Source organism: Homo sapiens, chromosome 10 (assembly GCF_000001405.40).
Source record: "Homo sapiens chromosome 10, GRCh38.p14 Primary Assembly".
Lineage (NCBI taxonomy): Eukaryota > Metazoa > Chordata > Mammalia > Primates > Hominidae > Homo > Homo sapiens.
Window position 1 is genome coordinate 14,415,912 of NC_000010.11, and position 23,960 is coordinate 14,439,871.

Below are 23,960 nucleotides of genomic sequence, written 5' to 3' on the forward strand. Positions count from 1 at the left end.
CCAGGTGTTTAAGGCATTCTAAGTCACAGGATAAGATAGGAGGTCAGCACAAGATACAGGTCATAAAGACCTTGCTGATCAAACAGTTTGCAGTGAGGAAGCCGGCTAAAACCCACCAAAACCAAGATGGTGACAAGAGTGACCTCTGTTCATCCTCACCACTATGCTCCCACCAGTGCTATGCCAGTTTACAAATGCCATGACAACGTCAGGAAGTTACCCTATGTGGCCTAAAAAAGGGGAGGCATGAATAATCCACCCCTTGTTTAGCATATTAAAAAATAACCATAAAAATGGGCAACCAGCAGCCCTCAGGGCTGCTCTATGGAGTACCCATTCTTTTATTTCTCTACTTTCTTAATAAACTTGCTTTCACTTTATTCTATCAACTTGCCCTGAGTTCCTTCTTGTATAAGATCCAAGAACCCTCTCTTGGGGTCTGGATTGGGACCCCTTTCCAGTAACAAAGTCTCCTCATTGAAACAGCTAACACTGTAGGAATGTGAGGCGTGTACGTTGGAGTCAGCTTTCTTGTCTGAGTCCTGGCAGGTTCAGAGACAGGAATGCCCCTGGGGAAAGAGCAACTCGCTACATGTGACCTTTTCTCTCTAGTGGGGAATCGAGACAAATACCCAGTTACAGGCTGTGATGTGTGTATTACTACGCATTCCCAGATCTCAAAGCTACCGCTACAAGCTAAACCCCAGACTTGGAGTCTAGCAAAATAAATTGTACCCATCGAGGTACCCCTAGGAAGTTACTTTATATGCAATGGTCAGCCTACCTTGTCTAGGCTTCATCGGACTTAATTATTTGATTTATGAATGGTCAATGTTATTGACCATCCAGCTGCCCATAAACTCTTCCACTTAATAAAACAGTGGCCTATTAGCCTACACGTTCAATAGACAAGCATCGAAGGGAAGCAGAATCCATGGGGACAACCAAAAAGAGGCAGCCACTCTCCTGGCTCTGTAAGGAACCTCCCAAAGAGGGTAAAGATTTCACTTTTATCTATAGATGCCTTGTTGGATTTTGCATAAAGAAATTACTAGAGTCACTGAACCATAACTTAGTTCTTCTAAATAGTGGTGAATATTTGAAAGCTTCAAGGACACTGCTAGAAACTTTACCAAGTATATACATACCTAGGTAAAAAGAGCATATTCATCCTATAGACTACACAGCATCCCAGCCATACTCCAAATAGTATACATACTAATGAAAAGAGTCAAACTCTATAAAATATTTGAAGAAATTTATTCTGAGCCAAATATGACTGACCATGGCCCATGACACAGCCCTCTGGACGGCTTGAGAACATGTGCCCAAGGTGGTTGGGGTGCAGCTTGGCTTCATACATTTTAGGGAGGCATGAGAGATCAAAGACATCTGAGAAATACACTGGTTTGGTCGAGAAGGCTGGACAATTCAAAGTAGGAAGCTTCCAGGTTATAGGTAAATTTAAACATTTTCTGGTTGACAATGGGTTAAGTTTATCTAAAGACCTGGGATCAATAGAAAGGAAATGTTCAAGTTAAGATAAAGGATTGTGGAGGTTCTTTTGAAGTCTCATAGTGGCTGCCCTTAGAGAAAAAACATGACAAATGTTTTCCCTTCAGACTTTCAAAAGGTGGTAGACGCTCGGTTAATCTCTTCAGGATTGGGAGGGCCTACAACAAAAAGATCTAGCTGTGTTAATAAAGATTCTTCACAGATGCAAATTTTCCCCCACAAAGGATGGCTTTGCAGGGCCATTTCAAAATATGGCAAAGAAACATGTTTTGGGATGAAATATTTTCATTTTCTCCTTTGTCACATGTTGTTATGCCAGAGTCAGATTCGAAAGTAAATCAATGATATACGGGGTTATACAAAACACATCTGATGAGAATTTATGGTTTGTAGGCCATGACTCCCCAGACCCCTCAGATATTTGGGCAAGATAGAAAAAAAATCAGAGCTTAGTTCTCACAAAACAATTAATTAATTCCTGTGCTGCTGGATTTGCTACTCCCATTAAAAAGAACATGGTTGGAATGGACGCCTTTTGCAAGGCAATAATATTCAGTCCATTGCAAGGAAACTAGGGGTTCTTTAAGATGGTAACCCCAGTATGAGCACGAGGTCTCTGTGTGTCTACTTTCTTTGAAGATTTGCTGGATCTCACATCTGACAAAAAGATACAACCCTGGGCCATCATCATAATGAAGTGTCCCTCTAGGCTGGCAGGTTTCTGCACACTCATCCCTTCCACTATAATCAAACTGTAACCTAGGATTTCTCCTTTTGAGCACATACAGCCAAGATCAGAGTTTAATACTTATCTCTTGCTGTCTCTGAAAAGATTGTGAGTTTGTTCTTGCAATATAAGAGCGCATTAAGAATTCCAGGACTCTTACATTCCTCACTGGAAGCAACGCTTGAGACTTGCTTTACAAACCCTACAACAACAGGCAAGCAGAAATCCCATTCCACCTCACTCTGCATGTGGTTGTGAAGAAAGCTCTCTACAAATGGCAGCCTGAGAATGTTAGAGGTGTATGAACCAGAGTGACTCCATCTTGAATAAGGGCTGGGTAAAACAAGGCTGAGACCTATTGGGCTGCATTCCCAGATGGTTAAGGTCTTCTAAGTCACAGGATGAGATAGGAGGTTAGCACAAGATACCTTGCTAATAAAACATAAATAAACACCTTGCTAATAAAACAGGTTGCAGTAAAGAAGCCAACCCAAATCCGCCAAAACCAAGATGGTGATGAGAGTGACCTCTGGTTGTCCTCACTGCTACACTCCCACCAGCGCTGCCATGACAGTTGACAAATGACATGGTAATGTCAGGAAGTTACCCTAGATGGTCTAAAAAGGAAAGGCATGAATAGCATATAATCAAGAAATAACCGTAAGAATGGGCAACCAGCAGCCCTCAGGGCTGCTCTGTCTATGGAGTAGCCATTCTTTTATTCCTTTACTTTCCTAATAAACTTGCTTTCACTTTAATCTATGAACTTGCTCTGAATTCTTTCTAGCGCGAGATCCAAGAACCCTCTCTTGGGGTCTGGATCGGGACCCCTTTCCAGTAACAAGAGCATTCTACTGCACTATGTTCCAGCACCCATGTTGGTAAGTATTAGCTTTGTTCCTTAATTCATTCAGACCTCTCATTTAAGCCCCCGCGTCTACACAGGTACGTATGAGGGTTGGAAGAATCTGGAAGGAAACAGTTATTAGCAAACAAATCCTGGAGTGGGCCAGGCCATGATTGCTCCAGAGTTTGTGTGACCCCAAGCCAGGGCTGAACTGATCTTTAAATGTTATAATCACCTGGAAGAACTTGATGATCTGTAAGCCACTGAGACATATAAGAGAACTAAAAACTTCTGAGAATGTTTTTTTCCATTTTGCTAAATATTTTTAAAATAATTTTATTATTTATGAATTCAATACTCTTGGGTCAATAATATTGACTGTTTGGCATGAATTATCATTTAAACACATAAATAACTTGTACCTTAGTTTGGTTTGCCTGGCATTGCATAGTTGTTATTCACAGAAAAACTGAGAAAAAATTATAATGCATGCCCACTCAAATGTAAAACTTCTGTAACAAGGAGAGGAGGGAGAAGCCATCATACAGATATGTGAGTAGCAACATCTATGTGCTTCCATGTTACAAAAAGAAAGATTATTAAAATTGCTAGAAAGTATAGTTTTACATTTAGCTATGCAGCTCTTCGATTTATTAAAACATAAATTAAATCATCATTCTCAGTAAACTATCGCAAGAACAAAAAACCAAACACCACATATTCTCACTCATAGGTGGGAATTGAACAATGAGAACACATGGACACAGGAAGGAGAACATCACACTCTGGGGACTGTTGTGGCATGGGGGGATGGGGGAGGGATAGCATTAGGAGATATACCTAATGCTAAATGACGAGTTAATGGGTGCAGCACACCAGCATGGCACAACTATACATATGTAACTAACCTGCACATTGTGCACATGTACCCTAAAACTTAAAGTATAATAATAATAAAATAAATAAATAAAAATAAATAAATTAGTAATTATAAAAAAACTTAGCTTATGTTAAAAGTTCATGGCAGAACGAAAAAAAAAAAATAAATGAAATCTCAAGCAACTAGAAGGTTGCTGCATTTCACTTTTGAAAGGTAAAGGTAAATGAAAACAAAGCAATCTTATATCAAGGACTGATTTTTTAACACTTACTGTAACATCCAGAAGTATATGTAGATGACACACATTCTGCATATATGGAACTCTCAGCTATATAAGATGGTCTTCAAATATTAAATAACAACTGACACAGACCCTTTCAGATTCCTGGGAGTTCCATTAATTTTATGACACCTTGCCAGAGCATTAGGCAAGGTGTTGATACCAACGAATGCCATCAGCACATGTGTGTCTCAGGTATGACCCGCTGAGCTCTACAGATCAGTCTGGAAAGGAATAATCCTGCATGTATTTGGTTCAATAGATGCCATATGCTATCATCAAAAGCTGTGGAAGAAGATGCTTCAGTCTATAGCCAATAAAAATCAATCAACCTAAAGGCAGAAATTCATCAATGTATATAAAAATAAGTAGGTGAAATTGTAATAAAGAACTGGATACTTACATAAGTCTCATGGTGTTGCCCAAAAAATTACTTATTCACTCCAAAGGGAGCAATGGTAACTTTACCATGGAGAGAGCTGGTAGACATCATTTTAACCATGTGAGCAAAGCTACTATCACCAATATTGGGACAAATAGACACATGCTCCCTGATATGATGCATGGAGAAGGACACAACATCCGCCTTTTCTATTCCTACCATAAATACAGAACCTAAATCTACTTAGGAGGATACATCAGACAAGACAAATAGACATTCCACAAAATAAATGGCCTCTACTTTTCAAAAATGTCAAGATCAAGATGAAGACAGGCTGAAAAACAGTTCTAGATTAAAGGAAAACAAACTGTGACAAATAAAGACAATATGTGATCTTGGATCAGATCATAGACTGAATTAAAAAATGCCTATAAAGAACACTATTGTCACTATTGGAAAAAATTGACTATGGTTGGATTGTGGATTAAATAATAGTACCGTATTGTATCAATGTTAAATTTCCTGATTTTTTATCATGACAGCATGATTGTATAAGAGAACATTCATGTTTTATAAAAATATATGCTGAAGTATTTAGTGGTAAAGGGGTATGGCATCTCCAATTATCTCATATAACCCAGAAAAAAATTAAATGCATATGTACATATAGGTATGTATGTGTGAGTATACACAGACACATACACACGTAGAGTAGGCTAAAATGTAAACAATTGGTGATTTGCGGTAAAGGTTACCCAGGAGTTGCTTGTACCAATCTTGACACTTTTCTGTAAGTTTAAAATTTCATCAAAATGATATCAAGAAAAAATCATTTCTGGAAAAACTTAATCCACAAATATTTATTTGTATCACAGTGTGTCAGCTGGGCAGAATTTTACAGTTTCTCTAGTCTGCTCTATCTCTTTCAAAGGATACTGGCTGCCATCTTACTACATTTGGACATAGTCACTTGAGTGGCTACTCTTAGCCAAGTTAATGTAGGGTATAGCCTTAAAAGGGTGCTTTTCTTGGAGGTCCCAACAAAGACAGACCTCAAGAAACATGAGGAAGTAAACAGTTTATTGGGAGGGAAGGACCAATAACTATTCCAGAAAGGTTATAGAACATGAAACATTTTGTTGTTTGAATTGTATGTCCTATTTCAATACATTTGGAAAATTCCCTCCAAAAAAATGCAGCACATTTTTTAATAATGTGCATCTGTGAGCTGCCGTCAAATCATTATTGATTTAAAAAATCAGACTAGCTTAAAGCAAGATAGCTCAGTGGTAGCATTAATTTTTTTTCAGATATGTATATTTTTTTCAGATACAGAGAGATAAACGCTTTTCCCAACATCAAAAAGAGCAAAGCTAAAGCTTAGATTTGTCCACTCCTTTATTCACTGAGCATGTTATGATCATTTGCTGGGGGCTCAGCCGACAAGGAAAAAAAAAAATCACACCTGGAAAAAATTCTTCAAGCCCTTCTATGTGCCATTACTCGGCCTTGAACATCCAGTAATTGGCTCTCAAAAAGGCATGTGAAATCCACATGCACAGATCAAAATCTTGATTAATTCCCATGCCCTCCCCGCAAGCCTGCTCCTCCCTCTGTCTTTCCCATCTCAGAAAAATGGTGACTTCATTTTTCTAGTTGTTCAGGCCCAAAACTCTGTGGACAGTCTTCATTCCATTCTTTATCACACACCCAGCATCTATTTTGAGAGCAAATTGTCTGTTCTACCTTCAACATATATCCCAAATCTGACCATTTCTTACCACCTCTACTTCTAACTCTCAGAACTAAGCACCATCCAATCTCACCTGGATTATCAAAATCACCTCCGCCTGGTCTCCCAGCTGTGACCTTACACCCCACGCCTTTGCTCACACAGAGACTAGATTTATTTTCAAGGGGAGGTCAGTGCATTAGTGTGCTAGGGATGCCCTCACAAAGTACTACAGTCTGGGTGGCTTAAACAACAGAAATTTATTTTCTCACAGCTCTGGAGGCTGGAAGTCCAAGATAAAGGTGTTTACAAGGTTGATTCCATTCTGAAGCTTCTGTTCCTTGGTGTATAGATGGCCACATTCTCCGTGAGTCTTCACCTGATTTTTCCTGTGTGTGTGCATACCTACGTGTCCTAATCTCCTTTTATTAGAAGGACACCAGTATTATTGGATTAGAGTCCACCCTCAGGACTTTATTTTACCTAAATTACCTCTTTAAAGGTCCTATCTCCAAATACAGTCACATTCCAAAGTACTAGGGGATAGGACCTCAGCATATAAACTTTGGGGAGACATAGTTAACCCTAAAACAGACCACACACTCCTCTTGACAGCTTTCAGTGGTTCCTCTTAACACTCAAAAAAAAAGCCAAAGTTCCTAGAGTGACCTACTAGGTCCTACCTAATCTAACCTCCCAGACCACTCTGACCTGTATCACATTATTCTCCTCCTTACTCCCTCAACTCCATCTATGCTTGTCTCTTTGCTTTCCCAAAATTGTGTGATACACATCCCAGGCCAAGGTTTCTGCACTGCTGGCTCCTTCTGCCTGGATCCCTATTTTTCCCAGATATTCACATGATTTCGACTTCATTTCCTCTTGGTCTCTGCACATATTATGGTAAGGCCCTCTCCAGTCACTCTCTATATAAGAACAAACAAGCCCCAATGCTTCTGAGACAGCCAGGTTGGAAGGGTTTCCTGGCAGAACCTCTGACCGACCTGCGCCCTGGGGTGGAGCCTTTGGAAGTTCTTTTGCAGCAGGGAGGAGCCCAGCCCCTCCTCTTCCTGGGTGGTACCTGGAATTCAATCTATGAGGCAGGAAGCCCATTAACAGGACTCTGGCTTTGTGGAGGGTCCATGTTTCCCTTTTTTCCCTTTTTGCCCAATAAATTCCATTTATTCTCACCCTTCAAAGCATCTGCGAGCCTAATCTATTATGGCCATGTGACAAGAACCCAGCTCTTAGCTGAACTAAGGAAAAACTCATAACACTCCCTACCTGTTTCCTAGTTTATGTTTTTCCATGGCACTTAACACTATCTGACATTACATACATTTACTCATTTACTTCCTTATAATCGTCTTCCCCCACTCAAATGCAAATTTGTTCTGGCAGAAAAATCGGTCTTTTTTGCTGACAACTTTATCCCCAACACTTAGAACTCTGCTTGGCTCAGAGTAGGCACTTGGTAAACGTTTATTGTGAGACTAAATAAATGTGTTTATTTTATTGGCTTGCACTCCCAGCTTTGGGATCAATATAAAAATAAGTAGCATATTTCTGCCTTCAAGTAGAAGAGGTTTTTTTTGTCCTGAGTATTAGTTACCATGGTTTTCTTCTTTTAAAGAAATGCCAAGAAATAATGGAGAAAAGCAAAATTTTATTTAGTTCTGCAAGGTAACCAAAGAATATTTTCTAGACTATTAATTCCCTCAAGATAAGGAACAAGTTCTATGACAGCACGTACCTCTTTTTTAAAAAAAAAAAAAAACTTTTTACCAGGTGCAGTGGCTCACGCCTGTAATCCCAGCACTTTGGGAGGCCGAAGTGGGTGGATCACCTGAGGTCGGGAGTTCAAGACCAACCTGACCAACATGGAAAAACCCCATCTCTACTAAAAATACAAAATTAGACAGGCATGGTGGCGCACGCCTGTAATCCCAGCTACTTGGGAGGCTGAGGCAGGAGAATCGCTTGAACCCAGGAGGCAGAGGTTGTGGTGAGCCAAGATCACACCATTGCACTCCAGACTGGGCAACAAGAGCGAAACTCCGTCTCAAAAAGAAAAAACTTTTTAAACATAATTTTTAAGTTTTTTTTAAAAATAAAGTACATGTATACATAAAGAGTCAAATAATTTCACAAGGTTGTTACTACAATAGCAGTCCCTTACCACCCTCACCACACCGTCTATGTAGCTTCTCAGAGGCAGCCATTTTGAACTCCTTCAACTGATTGGTATTGACCGCATTTCATTAAATCAACAATGCCTGTGATTCTACGATGCAACAAATGCTGCCAGTTAAACTATGGTACACCAAGAGTTAGGCATATCCTGATTATGGAGATGTTGAAACGTTAAAAAAAAAAAAAAGTGTGTCTCAGAATTGATGAAATGTGGTATTTTCATTTCTTTGAATAACAGACAGCTTATACTTCTTTATTATAAAGTTCGTGAGCCATAGAGAAGACATTTTAAAAATAATTATGCCTGGTAAGTGGTGTAATTGTCCCTCTCTATAGAACTAAATCAACCACAAAATATGTCACTGCTCTGAGGGTATTTTTAGGTTTCCTTTTTTAGACTATACATATACACAACTCAAATGGCCTCCTCCCACTTCTGTTAATTCTGCCTGGATAATTTCTATTTACACTACTGGTTCCAAAGTTTTCATCTCTCAAAAGAGACCTCTGTGGGCCCAGAGGGAACAGATTGAAAGACCCTAATAGGTTATATCACTTCATTTAATGGTATTTAGTGACAGCAAGGACTGAAAGCCTGAATTGGAAAGGAAACCCTTAATTCTACCCCTAATTATCATGATTAAGTAGAAGCTCTGACATTTGATTTTCTTCTTTTACTTGGAATTCTTGCTGTCTTTCAGCATCCACAGTCAGCATGCTCAGAAGGCTTTCTGTTGTAATGAGCTGAACTCTTGGCCTGACAAAAGCCATTCTCTCAGCCACACATTCTACTTGCAGCCAAAGGAATCCAGGCATGATTCCCCCCAGCACATCAGGCCATTGAAGCCCCTCCACCCCCAGCTTTTGCCCAGCATGTTTCCACTACAATGAAGCCTCTTACTTGCATATCTGCGTAGCTAACTCAATTCTTATGACCCAGCTCCAGCATCACCTTCAAAGTCTTCTTTCTTTTTGACTCCTTTTATCTGTGAGTTGCTACTTTCCCAAGCCTCCTACAGCACTTAGCTAATACCTGAATATTAGTGTTGATCACTATATTAGTCAGTTTAGGTTTTGCTACAGTAAGAATCAACACTCCAAATCTTAATTATTGTGTAAACAAAGGCCTGTTTCTATTTCAAGCGAAGCCTGCTCAAGTAAGGGTGATTCTCTGGGACACCATCCTCCACGCAGACACGGACATTCAGCCTGGTAAGCTGTAGCCTGGACCATTGGGAATGTGGGGCCCATTCATTCAGAACAGCAGTGGGGGAGAACGCTAGCCTAGAATTTATGCTGTCACTTCCATGCACAGCCCATTGGCCAGAAATAGTCACTTTGGTCATGCCTAACTGCAAGGGGAAATCTATGCCCAGGAAATAGCTTAAGATATGAGTGAGCGGCCGGGCGCAGTGGCTCACGCCTGTAATCCCAGCACTTTGGGAGGCCAAGGTGGGCGGATCATGAGGTCAGCAGATCGAGACCATCCTGGCTAACATGGTGAAACCCCATCTCTACTAAAAATACAAAAAAATTAGCCGGGCGTGGTGGCGGGCGCCTGTAGTCCCAGCTACTCGGGAGGCTGAGGCAGGAGAACGGCGTGAACCCGGGAAGCGGAGCTTACAGTGAGCCGAGATCGGGCCACTGCACTCCAGCCTGGGCAACAGAGCGAGACTCCGTCTCAAAAAAAAAAAAAAAAAAAAAGATATAAGTGAGCATTACAAATCTGACTGTAACTAATCCAGTCAAAGGCAGTGTCCCCAAAGAGAGGGTGTGAGCATCTTAATCAGTGGAATCATGGCTATTCATCTCACTGCTGCATCCCTGGTTCCAGAAACAATGCCTAGAACTGAAAACGTAGCCAGTAAATATTGCATGGATGAATTAATGGTTTAGGTTAATTGAGATCAGCTGCCTGGGACTGAGGGCGAGTCTAGCTTCTCCAAAAGTACGTGGCTGCCCAATAACAGAAAGAAATCAAGGTTTGTTGGAAAAATAAAGGAGATAAAATGGCTGCTGAGAAAGTACTGGTGTTGGCTGCAGAGGTTCAGAGACCTGTTGATTGAGTGAAGGGATGGATGGGTGGATGGGTGGATGGGGGCTGTGGGGGATGGTAGGTACATTATTTCCCTGTCCCTATTGCCACTGCTCCTGCCCTTGCAAAGATCACCATCATTATCACTTGATTATTAAAATGGCTCTACATGCATATCATCGTCTACCACCATTTTTCTCCTTCTCAATATATTATCTACATTGATGTGAGAATCCCTTCTAAAACTCAGATTGAATCATGGCATCAGCCTCTTTTAAAAAATTATTCCATAATTTAAAAAAAACCCAAGTCCTTCATATGATAGTCAAGATCCTTCACAATTTGATTAGAACGTGTCCACCTCTACCTTCCTCCACCTACATGGTCTTCCCAAACACACCCAATTAGCTTTAGCTATGCTATACAATTAAAGAGTGTATATCTCCACACTTGTGGTCCTCTGCTTAGTCTTCCCTTTTTGTTTCTATCAGCTATCTAGGTCAACTATTGCTTCCTCCCTGAAGCCTTCCTAGAACTCTTCAGACAGAATTTGTCACTCCCTTTTCTAGTTCTCCAATTATACCTGGTGTATACTTCTGAAAAAAAGAAAAAAAAAAACTTCCCTTAGGATAATCTGCTTTATATTTGTATTTAAACTATTAGAGCTGGGAAAAGGATTCGCTAGGTTTGTATATGCATCTGTTGTATTGTGGTTTTATCAGAGGCATTTGAACCAAAGCAACTCCATCTTGAATCGGGGCTGGGTAAAATGAGGCTGAATCCTGCTGGGCTGCATTCCCAGATGATTAAGGCATACTAAGTTACAGGATGAGACAGGAGGTGAGCACAAGATACAGGTCATAAAGACCTTGCTGATAAAACAGGTATCAGTAAACCTACCCAAACCTACCAAAACCAAGATGGCCAGAAGAGTGTCCTCTGGTCATCCTCACTGCTATACTCCCACCAGCGCCATGACAGTTTACAGATGCCATGGCAACATCAAGAAGTCACCCTATATGGTCTAGAAAGGAGAGGCATGAATAATCCACCCCTTGTTTAGCATTTAACAAGAAATAACCATAAAAATGGGCAACCAGCAGCCTGGGCACTGCTCTGCCTATGGAGTAGCCGTTCTTTTATTCCTTTACTTTCCTAATTAGCTTGTTTTCACTTTACTCTCTGGACTCTCCCTGAATTATTTCTTGCGTGAGATCCAAGAACCCTCTCTTGGGGTCTGGATCCAGACCACTTTCCTAAAACACTTTATTGAGACCGACAGCCATATTTGACTCTCTTGATTAGAATAATGCATTGCATATTATAAGCAGTCATTCATGCTTTCATTCAACAAATGCTGTGGAGTGCCAAATATGTGCCAGACCATGGACAAGACAATTAACATTCATAGAAATGAATTAAATCCTAAGTAGAGTTCCATTCACCCACAGCCCATTGTCATTTTCACAGAGTACATAACGCCATGTGATGATTAATTCATTAATTAAGCTGGTTTCCTAACTTAGTGTGAACTTCATTATCTTGTCCAAATGCCTATAGCACTCTTGATACACAGTCTTAGAACAAAACAGAGACCCTCACTGTGAAATACTTCCCAGATAATAGCTCATATTCATTTCTTAAGAGATTAGGTTGCCACTCTCTGAATTATATGAAACTTTTCATTGGCCCACCTGACCTTTTGGAGACACACTTGTATTGGTGACAAGATGCAGAAGTTGGGCTCCCTGCGTTTATTGCTGCTTATATCTCATTATTCAACACGAAATGTTTGTGATGTTTTTAAGATGATCCTTAATCTTTTCAATGGCCACACAAAACTGTTCTTGTGTACACTGGGGCTTCCTTTTACTTCTTTGTAAGGCACTGATAGAGAAAAATGTACGTGTTTTCAAACAGCTCCTATTTTCTTCACAGAGCAGAGGTAGGGCATCGAAATGTACGCTGCATTTCCTTTCTATGGTTTTAAGAGCGCAGAGCTAGCCCTCCACGGTAAGCCATCAATCCTATTTCAGATCCAGCCCCTGAACCTCCGTTAAAGCTAATGGAGACAATTATGTCCATAAACCAAAGAGAAAAGAAACCCCTTCATTTGTAAATTAGCCCAATTCCAGTAGATTCTCTACGTCAAGCCAGGAAAGAATAACATGAAAACATGTCAATCATGAGTCCCTCTATTTAATTGCCTGAAATAAGTGTTGATCTGGGAAGCTTACCACTGCCACTGATTCCCTCTCAGAAGAAAAAGAATAGCGAACTCTCAACAGTTCCTTGGGACACTGGTCTGCAAGCTCTCCCTATTTTCTTCCTAAATCTTTTTGGTAAATGCTAAATGACCAGTCTGGTGATTGCTTTTGGTGCCCCCATAAATCCTCGTAGACCAAGTCTCACTTTCCGGAACCCATTCCTTATGGAGATAGATTGGCTTTCTTTCCATTGTGCCCATTGTTTATTAGAATGAATGAGAGTAGACATCTCTGTAAGATGGTAAAATACTGAAAAGTACTTTTCTCCTTTCTATGAATGACTGCACCTAAGAACAACTGCATCTGAATTTGGTTCTCATTTAAGAAAGTCGTACGTTGACTACCTATGATAGGACTGAAATCTCCAAGAGCACTGGCCCAGAAAAGTATTTGGAATTTACAGTTATCTTAGGAATTTCTTCCTTTCGGGGGGCGGGGTGGGGGGGAAGACACTCAGCAAGCATCCCATTGTCATTGAGATGTGGGTACTACAGAGAAGCTTCTGACACAACAGCCAAGATTCACCTCCTACTTCTCCTTTAGGAGAAAACCTGTGTATTTCAAAAATGAAATGAGGTGCGGAGATTTATTTCCACCTACAGAAGCTGTCATCCATGCAGCATTCCCCTATGACATTCCATCTTCATCTTCTTGCAACCTTCTTTGACTATTCTCCTCTTGCACCACAGTGACTAAGAATATAACTCACAACAAGAACATCCATTCTTTTCAGTCTGGACACTTTGCCTTCACCACGGATGTGCTGCTCCTGGTTAATAATTGTGCTGTAGCTAAGGCTGCTTGGTCCTGACAGCCAGAGATCCCAGGAGATTAAGAGAGGAACAGTTGCCTTCCCTTGTTCTCATTAATTCTGTCTACATTCAAAGTCAAGCCCTTTATGCTTCAAAAAAATTATTTCAAACCCAATATTAAAGCTATAGAAAGATAATATACATGGATATTTACAAGATATTTTATGAAGATACACAATTAGGACAAAACTGAAGGAAATTAAGACTGTCAAAATGTTAATAAGGATGGTTGCAGCATTATTGATAATAATGAGAAATTATTTCTGTTGTATTCACTACTGAGTAGCCAGTGCCTGTACACTGCCTGTACACTGATTGCTTATTATAGAGCAATCATTAAATACTTGTTAAACTGATGAATGATAAATAACTTATTAGACTTTCCTAGTTTAAAACTTCAATTCCTTTTAGGTCAGAAATATAATTATCCAATGATGCTACCAGTCAGAACCAAACAATACCTGCAGGTATTGGGTAGGGTAGGGACAACTCCATGGGATACTGCAGGTATTGATGTGGGTAGTGGTTGCATGAAAATACACACACACACACACACACACACACTCACTCACTCACGTACTCATCCAGATGAACATTTATGATTAGTGCATTTTATATACTTTATTGTTTCTATGTAGCCTCAATTTTTTTAGAAAGTAGGTAACTATGGTATGATGCTTCTAATCTATGTGAAAATCTGTTTTGTTCTCCACTGAGAAGGCCCTTTCTCTACTTTTGCTTTTTGAGGATCTTTTATTCCTGGGCCTATTTGTCTGCTATTTGATTAGCATATACCTATTGGCCCTATTTTCCATTAGCTCTTTCTTAAATGGCTTATAGTCCCAGATAATTGTCTGAATTCATTTTGCTTTTCTGAAAAACAAAACCCACAAAACTTGAAACCATAAAACAAAAACCTAAAAAAAAAATACAAAAATTGTCAAACACATTTGGACACACTAGAATATGATTTTACAAAAATAATGTAAAGCTGATCACTATTCAGCATTCTTAGAATCCTAAGACTTCTAATTAAGGAAGCACCCAAAATAACATGGAAACAACCTCTACAGCTTGCAATGATTGGGGCTCTCTCACCAAACAACTTTCTACTCTACTTAGAGAGCACCTAACAACTTCAGACCACAGTCACTGGTGAATGTGCTATTATGAATGGAGACCCCCTTACAATGTGACTTTGAACTGGCCCTATAGCCCCTTTATCCAGGCTTCAATCTCCCCAAAACACAAGAGGCTGCAATTAGATCTAAGGTCACAGTCAATGCTATCTTTCTCTGTTTCAATAAAAGTTGAGTATTAGTTATATTAGCAGTACTTCTGAGGTCTTCAAGTTGATTGAATAACTAGATATTGTACCACTATTTAAAACAGCCAAAGTATGGAATCAATCCAAGTGCCCATCAAAGGATGAACAGATGAATAAAATGTCGAATACTGTTCAGCCATAAAAAAAATGAAATCCTGCCATTTGCAGCAGTATGGATGAAACTGGAGGTCATTAAGTGAAATAAGCCAAGCACAGATAGACAAATATCACATGTTCTCACTCATCAATGGGAGCTAAAAAAGTGGATTTCATCAATATACAGAGTAGATTGATGGTTACCAGAGGCCAGGAAGGGGTGGGGAAAGGAGATGATGAAGAGAAGTTGGTTAATGGGTACAAATATATCATTGGCTAGAAGAAATAAGACCTAGTGTTAGATAGATCAGTAGAGTGACTATAGTTTACAATATGCTATTATATATTTCAAAATAGCTGGAAGATAAGAATTCAAATAGTTCTAGCATAAAGAAAAGACAAATATTTAAGGTGACAGGTATCCCAGGTACACTGATTTGATCCTTACAAATTATATGAATGTATTAAATCATCACATGAAATTATATACATCTTCTATGCATCAGTTTATAAGAAAAATAACTATAATTTATTTTCTTTCACTGTCTACATAAAAATAATTTAGGTTTTATTTCCCAAGTCAATAATGCAAATGATTGTTGTCTCATGTAATAAAAGTTTAACAAATACTAGTTAGAGGCAAGGAACTTGATTCTTTGTTACAGGGCACCAAATTGAGTATACTTCATTGTCTCTCCATAAATATTAATTAATGACTTTGTAGCTATTAAAATTATTATCTTCAGTGCCCCAGAGTTAATACACTACTACTAAGTAAGCAGCTCATCTCCATTTTAGAAGTCTGGACTATCTTTAGAATTTTCCTAGAGTTTATAATCAGACCACCCTTGATGTTATAAGTATTAATATTTTGACCAAACTGGGTGAAAACCAGGAAAAGTCAAAAATAAAGGTTAAAACTCAGCTTTGTACTTGTTCTGTGAACATAAAAGGCCAGAAATGAATGAGGCATATCACATTAAGCTTCTCTGCACTTCTGTACTAATCTGCTGGCCGGATTAGTTTGGTTGTTTTAAAGGAATAATGAGCCCAAGTTATTGTCTTAACCTTGAGCTGGAATTTCTGAATATTGATTTAGTTTCACCATGAACTAAGTGGACGTGTACTGCTAAACTGAAGATATCTATTATTTCTTCGTCATCGCTATCCCTTGTTCAAGAATCTGCCTCACCCACAGCTCAGAAGGGGCAAGCCCACCTATGACAGCTGCTAGGATTGGGGAAGGTGGCACCCAACCTAGACCGGCCCATGAGATCCTCCCACACAGGAATTTGAAAGTGAGAAACAAACTGTGAATTCATCAGATGGTGTTGAATTGAAAGCAGGGCCATATAAAGTTAGGCACCACTTGGCATGTAGAAACCAAATACAAGGTAAAGTCATGGTGATCAGGAACCAGGAAGCTGGCTGAGAAAGCTGGTAACTGAGTGGGGAATATCACAGATCACAGAGGAAAGATTTAACCCAAAAAGAACGGGTTAGAGATAATGCATGCCTTATGGCATCCTGGTCACTGTGATACACTGCTATACTCCTGGCCATTGGGTTTGTGTGTGTTTTAGTACATTTAAAGTTGACACATATTATACATATTTATGGAGTATAGTGTGATATATCAATGCATATCTGCATTGCCTAGTGAATGCTACTGGGTTTTAAAAGATTACCTGTAGTCTTAATCAATCTCCACTTTGCTGTGCCATTGTAAAAGTGATAAATATGAGTATTTATAGCCTCATCCTGTCTCTCACATTCATCCACATTCACATTTACACACACTCATATAATTGGTACATACAGCCAGTACAGAATTAAAGAAGGCAGAATGATTAGACTTGATGTGTATTAGAAAAGAAAACTACTCAAGGTGGGAGCCTGCGCTGGAGAAATATACCCAGGATAGACTGGGGAGAAGTTTGAGATCTTTTGAGAGAATTAAATAAGACTAAAGGCTGTTAGGATAATGAATGAGACATTAGAAAAGAGTTTAAAAAGTTTTTACCATTTGTTTAAGTGGAACTCTTTTTTGGAACCCTTCAGGTTGTTTTGGTAAAGATTTTATTTTCCAAAGTGTTCTTAGGAAATCGTCTTGCATTTCTTTCTTAATGAGAGCCTGGCTGAGACTGGACAGAAGGTGACCCAGTGTTATTTGGGTTATGGCAAACCCCAATCTCTTTCAGACATGAGTGTTTCTCAACAGAATTCTAAAAGCATTTTTAGTGGGACAATTCTTCATTGTGCAGGACCATCCATTAGCTTGAAGTACGTTAGCATTACTAGCCCCTGGGCACTAAATGACAGAGCACTTCTCAGTCACTGTGACAACCAAATACATTCTGCACCCATTTCCAAATGCCCCCAGGGTAGGAGAATACTGCCTGTGGTGGAACACCACGGATCTAGACATTAATAAGTTGGTTTCCATTCATTGCAATGAAACAATTCCAGATGAAGACAGTGGCTCATAAATAAGCATATGAGAATCATTTAATTCTTCCCTAAAGCACTCAACTCAAATATACATGGGATCCTAGATAGCAAACATGATGCTATTTGCTTCATCATGAACAAGGATTGCAAATGCAGCATAAGATATTATCCTCCTAGTCTAACACAAAATCCTGAAACTGAAAGTGGGTAATGACAACTAACGTCAATGGGAAGATAGCAGAGTAGGCCTTTCACAAAAAAAACATGGCAGACAGCAAGAAGAAAATGGGCCTCAGTCTGGAGATGAGGTTAAGAAAGTTTGTGACCTCAGAAAGATAAAATCAGAGTAAATCCATATGCTATTGTTTAGATGTTTGTCCCATCAAAATTTGTGCAGAAATTTGATCCCTGGTCTTGGAGGTAGGGGCCTAATGGGAAGTGCTTGGGTCATGGGGGTGGATTCCTTATAAATAGATTAATGCCTTCCCTATAGGGGAGAGTCATTTCCACAAGAACTGGTTATTATAAAGAGCTTGGTGCCTCCCTCTCTCTCTCTCTCGCTTTCTCTCTCACTGTGTGATCTCTGCACACGTTGGCTCCCCTTCACCTTCCACCACAAGTGGTAACAGCCTGAGGATCTCACTAGAAGCAGACGCTGGGACCATGCTTCCTGTACAGCCTGCAGAACCAGGAGCCAGATAAACCCCTTTTCTCTATAAATTACCCAGCTGCAAGTATTTCCTTATAGCAACACAAAATGGACTAAAACAACATACCTTTGTATCAAATCCCATAATACTGAGGCTAAAAGCATGAACAGAAGTTAACAATTTGAGCACACCTTGTACTAGGCACTAGTTAGAAAATGCTACCATTCTTAGACAAATAAAGGCAAGTGCTGCTTCATAAGATGAGGTTCTTAAAAACTGTGGTTCAGCAAAAGTACATTTTAAAAATAAGATTTGTGCACTGGTTTCTCCGTCTACCCTCTACAATGTTCTTCTCCCAGATAATCACGTGAGCCACTTGCCCACCATTTTCATGGCTGTGTGAAAATATCAGCTTCTCAGTGAGGTTACCTGACCACCCAGTTTGAAACAGCAGCTTCCACTCTGAGCTCATCACTGTCTGTTTCTCTTATCTGTTCTTTTCCACAGCTCTTCTCACCATTCAATACACTGTGCATTCACTTTTTTTTTTTTTTAAATCTAGGTGGAAGGCAGTCCGTTCACTGGGATGTAATGGATTTTTTAAAGTCTAGATTGAAGGCAGTATCCCTTCATCGTGATGGAAGGAATTTAAAACTTTCTAGTTGGGAAGACAAATGAAAAGCCTCATAATGAGGTTAAAGTCAAGGATGCAAAAGAAACCTACCCCCACAACCACATAAATGGCATGATAATGTGTATGTGTTGCCTCAGACACCACAGTGACTATCTTTGTATGAAGTATAAAGCAGACCAATTCAGACAAAAATGAAAATGTACCAGAAAAAAATAATTTGGACCCTGTTGAAAATGAAATCTATTTCAAAAGCTTCAATCCTCTCTTTACTGCGATTGTCTATAAGTGACTATGAATTTAAGAAGTTGTGTTTCATTGTTAATTGCAATATTTTTCAAAGCTATTATACTCTAGGTCTGGAGACCACAGTTGATCTAGGTTTGGTGGTCTGCTACAGAGGGAGATTTCTTTTTTGAAGGGTTTTTTTTTTTTTTTGGCGGGGAGCAGGGTGGGATGAGGGCAAAAGGGGGTTAAAATAGGTGGCAAATGATAGCTTTCATCCTTAGTGAAAAGCCATGGCTTCTAGAAATGTCTACCATCTGATAGTCATTCGACAAATGTCTATTGAGCACCCATATATGCCAGGTACTGTTCTGGACCCTTGGGATACATCAACAATCAAAACAGAGAAGCAGCCTGTCCTCCTGCAGCTTCCTTTCTGGAGAAAATTCTAAAATATGACTAGGTGGTCTTCGATTAATTGGCTATTTTTCTTTAGCAGAAAATTTTGTGACAGCATTGAGGGTTAGGAAAGAGTTTTCAGGCCAGGTGCGGAGGCTCACACCTATAATCCCAGCACTTCGGGAGACGGAGGCGGGGAGATTACCTGAGGTCAGGAGTTCGAGACGAGCCTGGTCAACATGGCGAAACCCTATTTCTACTAAAAATACAAAAAAATTAGCCAGGCGTGATGGCGCATGCCTGTGATCCCAACTACTTGGGAGGCTGAGGCAGGAGAATCGCTTGAACCCAGGAAGTGGAGGTTGCAGTGAGCAGAGATTGTGCCACTGCACTCCAGCCTGGGCAACAGCGAGATTCTGTCTCAAAAAAAAAAAAAAAAAGAAATTTAAAAAAAGAAGAAAAAAGAAAAGAATTTTGAAAAATTTTCTGGTGCTCCCTTAGAAACCATCACTAAAAATTTCATCTTTGCTTCTGCTTATGGTATTGAAAGCTTTTTGTTCATATCAGAAATATATATGCAGAGTTTTCTGTGGTAAGGAATTGTGCTAAGAAGCAGGAGGGGATATAAACATATGTGAGACGTATCTGTCAACTTATCCTTTGATGGGTTCCACCCATACCACGGTTTCAAAGGAAAATACTATCATCTCTGTGTTGCAATGGCCGGGCAACATCATTCTGCCCATGGTACCTCCAGTAAATACAGAACAGAGCTGGAACTCTGCCTTTCACTCAATTAAAGCCCCTTGTGGTTCAGATGTTTACACAATGGAAACTAACAAAGAAACCAAAGGCCAAACAGAGTGGTTGGGGCAGAAGGGTCTTTTAATCCTGGGTCTGAGGACCAATGTCCTAAAGGGATAAAAGCCCACCCAATGTCACCAGAGGCAGAAATAGGATGCATGCTGCCTGTCACCCGATGATCAGAGACCATATATTATTCTCTCTGTTCAGATCCATCATTGAGGTTTTTATGAGAGAAGGCTGTCTTGAAGGAATGCTTTATCTCGGTTTGCACATACTGCAAGTCAACCAGAGTTAGAGGGAGCTGCCATGTTTGTGCTGGAAGTGATAGAGCTGGGCTGCAGGGGGGTGGAGGATGGGGGAGGTAGGAGAGCAGACGTCTATTGATTTGGTGTTTTAGCTAATCGACCTATGGTTTGGGACTCAGGATGTGGTCAAGTGTTGTTAAGGCATGTTCAGGAACAATACTTGACCACATTTTGAATTCCAAACCATATTCTACAACTTTTTCCACATATTTGGTGTAATCCTCCATTTTCTATTTTTGAGTTCGACAAAAAGGGGTCAAGAAAATATAAATGCATTTCGAGAGTTTTTTAGACCTCCAAAGGTCTTGAAGAATAATATTTTGAGGAGTTAGGTATAAATAATTCAGAAACATATGGATAGAATTTACTTCTACATATCAGAATGTAACACAAAGTAAGGAGAAATATTTGACTGTACTCTGCTTGGTAGGGTCCCAGTGTTTGAAAGAAGTGCAGCCGCATGAACCATTCTGGGCTGCTTCCTGTCCCGCTTTTGTACGCATCTCTCTCTCTCTTGCTTTCAAGCTGCATGAACATGTACTTAGACCTCAGGTATATTTTAAGGAATAACAGCTGGTAGTTTGAGGGACCCATACATCCCTCACGTACGGCCATAGATGCTATGTTCAGCAAATATGAACAAACACAGCAAAAATCTATGCTGTGCTCTCCGCCACATCGATGCTGGCTTTTCTAGCATTCCATCCAATTCCAGCTTTCTGCTTGTCTCAGAAATGGATGGGGGTCAGGGGTGTGACAGGAATAGCTTCATAACTTGAGGAACCCAGTACAAAATGAAAATGTGGGCCCCTTGTTCAATAAGTATTAAGAATGTTAGGATGGCAACAGCAGAACGTTCGAAGAAGGCTGGGGAGTTTGGCCTAGGAAGCTGGCCCTGCGTGGTGATGCCCTAAGGCATTTTTTCCCCTCTAACATTTCTTCTTTTTCTTTCTTTCTTTTCTTTCCTTCCTTCTTTCTTTCTTTCTTTCTCTTTCTTTCTTGAGATGGAGTCTCACTGTGTTGCCCAGGCTGCAGTGCAGTGGTGTGATCTCAACTCACTGCAACCTCTGCCTCCCTGGTTCAAGTGATTCTCCTGCCTCAGTGGCTGGGATTACGGGCGTCTGCCACCACCGCCTGGCTAATGTTTGTATTTTTAGTAGAAACAGGGTTTCGCCACGTTGCTTAGGCTGGTCTTGAACTCCTGACCTCAAGTGACCTTCCCACCTTGGCCTCCCAGACTACTGGGATTACAGGCATGAGGCAGCGTACCTGGCCGCCCTTCAACATTTATTTTGGCAAATAAAAACAAGATGATGGCAGAATAATAAATGTGAACACCGATTTAAAAGGTAGTATGGCCTGAGAATGTAATGGAAGGATTTGGATTTCCCAAGCACTGCTAACTAAAATCAAGAGACAGGACCAGATATCAGCAAACATTTCAAAAGGAATCACCGTATGGTGAAAAGAAATGAAGCTGTAGACGGAACCAGTTGAGTTCTAATTAGCAAAGAGGTAAGCAATTCAGAAGAGTGGTGAGGCTACAGTTCTTGAGGCTATTGTGCTATTTGTTTTTTTTAATAGAGACTCTAAGGAAAGCCATTAATGCAAAGAAAGGAATTCTATTTAAACCTGATGGTGCTGTGTTGCATTAGGTTGGTACAAAAGTAATTGCAGTTTTTGCCATTAAAAGTAATAATAATTTGGCCTGTAATCCCAGCACTTTGGGAGGCCAAGGTGGGCAGATCACCTAAGGTCAGGAGTTTCAGACCAGCCTCATGCTTGGCAATGAGCCAAGATCGTGACACTGCACTCCAGCCTGGGTGACAGGGTGAGACTCCATCTCAAAAAAAAAAAAGTAATCATAATAACACCAAGAAAGTTTTAAAATAAACATTGAATCACTTTTGGGATGTTTAATATGTGGGCAAGTCTCTGCTTTTGCAATTTTTTATTTTTTATTATTTTGAGACAGAGTCTTATTCTGTCGCCCAGGCTGGAGCACAGTGGCACTATCTCAGCTCACTGCAACCTCTGCCTCCTGGGTTCAAGTGATTCTCCTGCCTCAGCCTCCCAAGTAGCTGGGATTACAGGCATGCACCACTATGCCTGGCTAATATATATATTTTTTTTTTTTTTTTTTTTTTAGTGGAGACGGGGTTTCACCATGTTGGCCATGCTGGTCTCGAACACCTGGCCTCAAGTGATCCACGCGCCTCAGCCTCCCAAAGTGCTGAGATTACAGACATGAGCCACCACACCCAGATGCTTCTGCAATTTTTTATTTGACCACATGCTTTACTCAGTGTTGCCTAAATAGAGATCTCTACTTCTTCCCTCACAGTTGCCAGAGATGAATAAACGTGTAAAGCAACAACTCTTGCACTCTGAAGTCACCTTACAACAATGTCTTTTACGATGAGTCTTGAGAATGAGACCACCGAATCTAAATGTAGGCATTGCCCATAACATTTGTTTCTAGAAATGTTGTACATGGCCTGCTCTTATGTATTTATTTTTAAAAGAAATATTTTTTCTGCTGATAAAAATTTAAGCGATGATACAGAAGTGTGCAGAGTACAAAACTGAAATCTCTTGTTTATTTCCATCTCTTTTGTGAGAAGCCTGTTAATATCCTTTGAAATTCTTCTGCAAGCTTTGTCATATTATATTATAAAGAGCACTTTATAAGTTCAGTATTTTTTACAGTTTCTCATTCATCTTTTTTGTTTGTTTGCCTGTGGGGTCGATTAAGACTTGCTTTTAGAAAAAAACAAGGAGACGAAAACAGAGTGTGGGTCACATTCTTTACACAGAGTTCACTCTCATTTTTAAAGAAGAATTGATTCTATTTTTTAGCTGATCAGCATAAAGTGCTTTATTAAGCATAAACTTGTACCATGTACTTTATCTTATTTATTTAAGATGGATGAATCTGTTTTATGCATATATTAAAAAGTTATCAAAAAAGCAACACCCAGTGCTTCATATATTACAGAAAATAAGTGTTAATTCAATAAACAAACTAGAAATTCTTCAGTATGCCAAAGACTTGGCTTTAGATGAACTATCAATTTAATTCCATTCAGCAAACATCTGTTAAGCATCTGCTGGTGCTGCCTTTACTGAATGAGCTGCTTCCTGCAGATCGAAGGATGAGCTGGACTAGGTTCTGACCCAGGGCAAGTCTGCTCCATCTGACTTCTTATAGGTGGTAAAATGCACAAATACTACAGGCTAAACGAAGTACTACAATGAAAGAAGTCTTTCCTGGCAAAGTGGACCACGGGACTTAATAAGTCTTTCATTTCAAATCTATGTCATCTCATAAATAGCAGAGCAATGTGTGACAACACAAAGACTTTATTCCCTTCATAGACTCCACTAGGGGACACTTCC

At 39.9% G+C, this 23,960-nt stretch overlaps 1 non-coding gene across 1 annotated transcript, besides 1 other annotated feature; it reads left to right on the top strand.

The window, feature by feature from the left end:
• Positions 1,272-2,176: an enhancer, noted in NCBI's record as "NANOG-H3K27ac hESC enhancer chr10:14459182-14460086 (GRCh37/hg19 assembly coordinates)". NCBI's record gives its function as "activates a minimal SCP1, AML or CMV promoter by ChIP-STARR-seq in naive H9 embryonic stem cells {active_cell/tissue: H9 hESC(naive)}" and the evidence as "EXISTENCE:reporter gene assay evidence [ECO:0000049][PMID:30033119]".
• Positions 20,665-20,750, top strand: MIR1265 (microRNA 1265). The gene has a single exon (NR_031668.1). It is a non-coding gene; the product is annotated as a microRNA 1265 (primary transcript).
• The last annotated feature ends 3,210 nt before the right edge of the window (positions 20,751-23,960 follow it).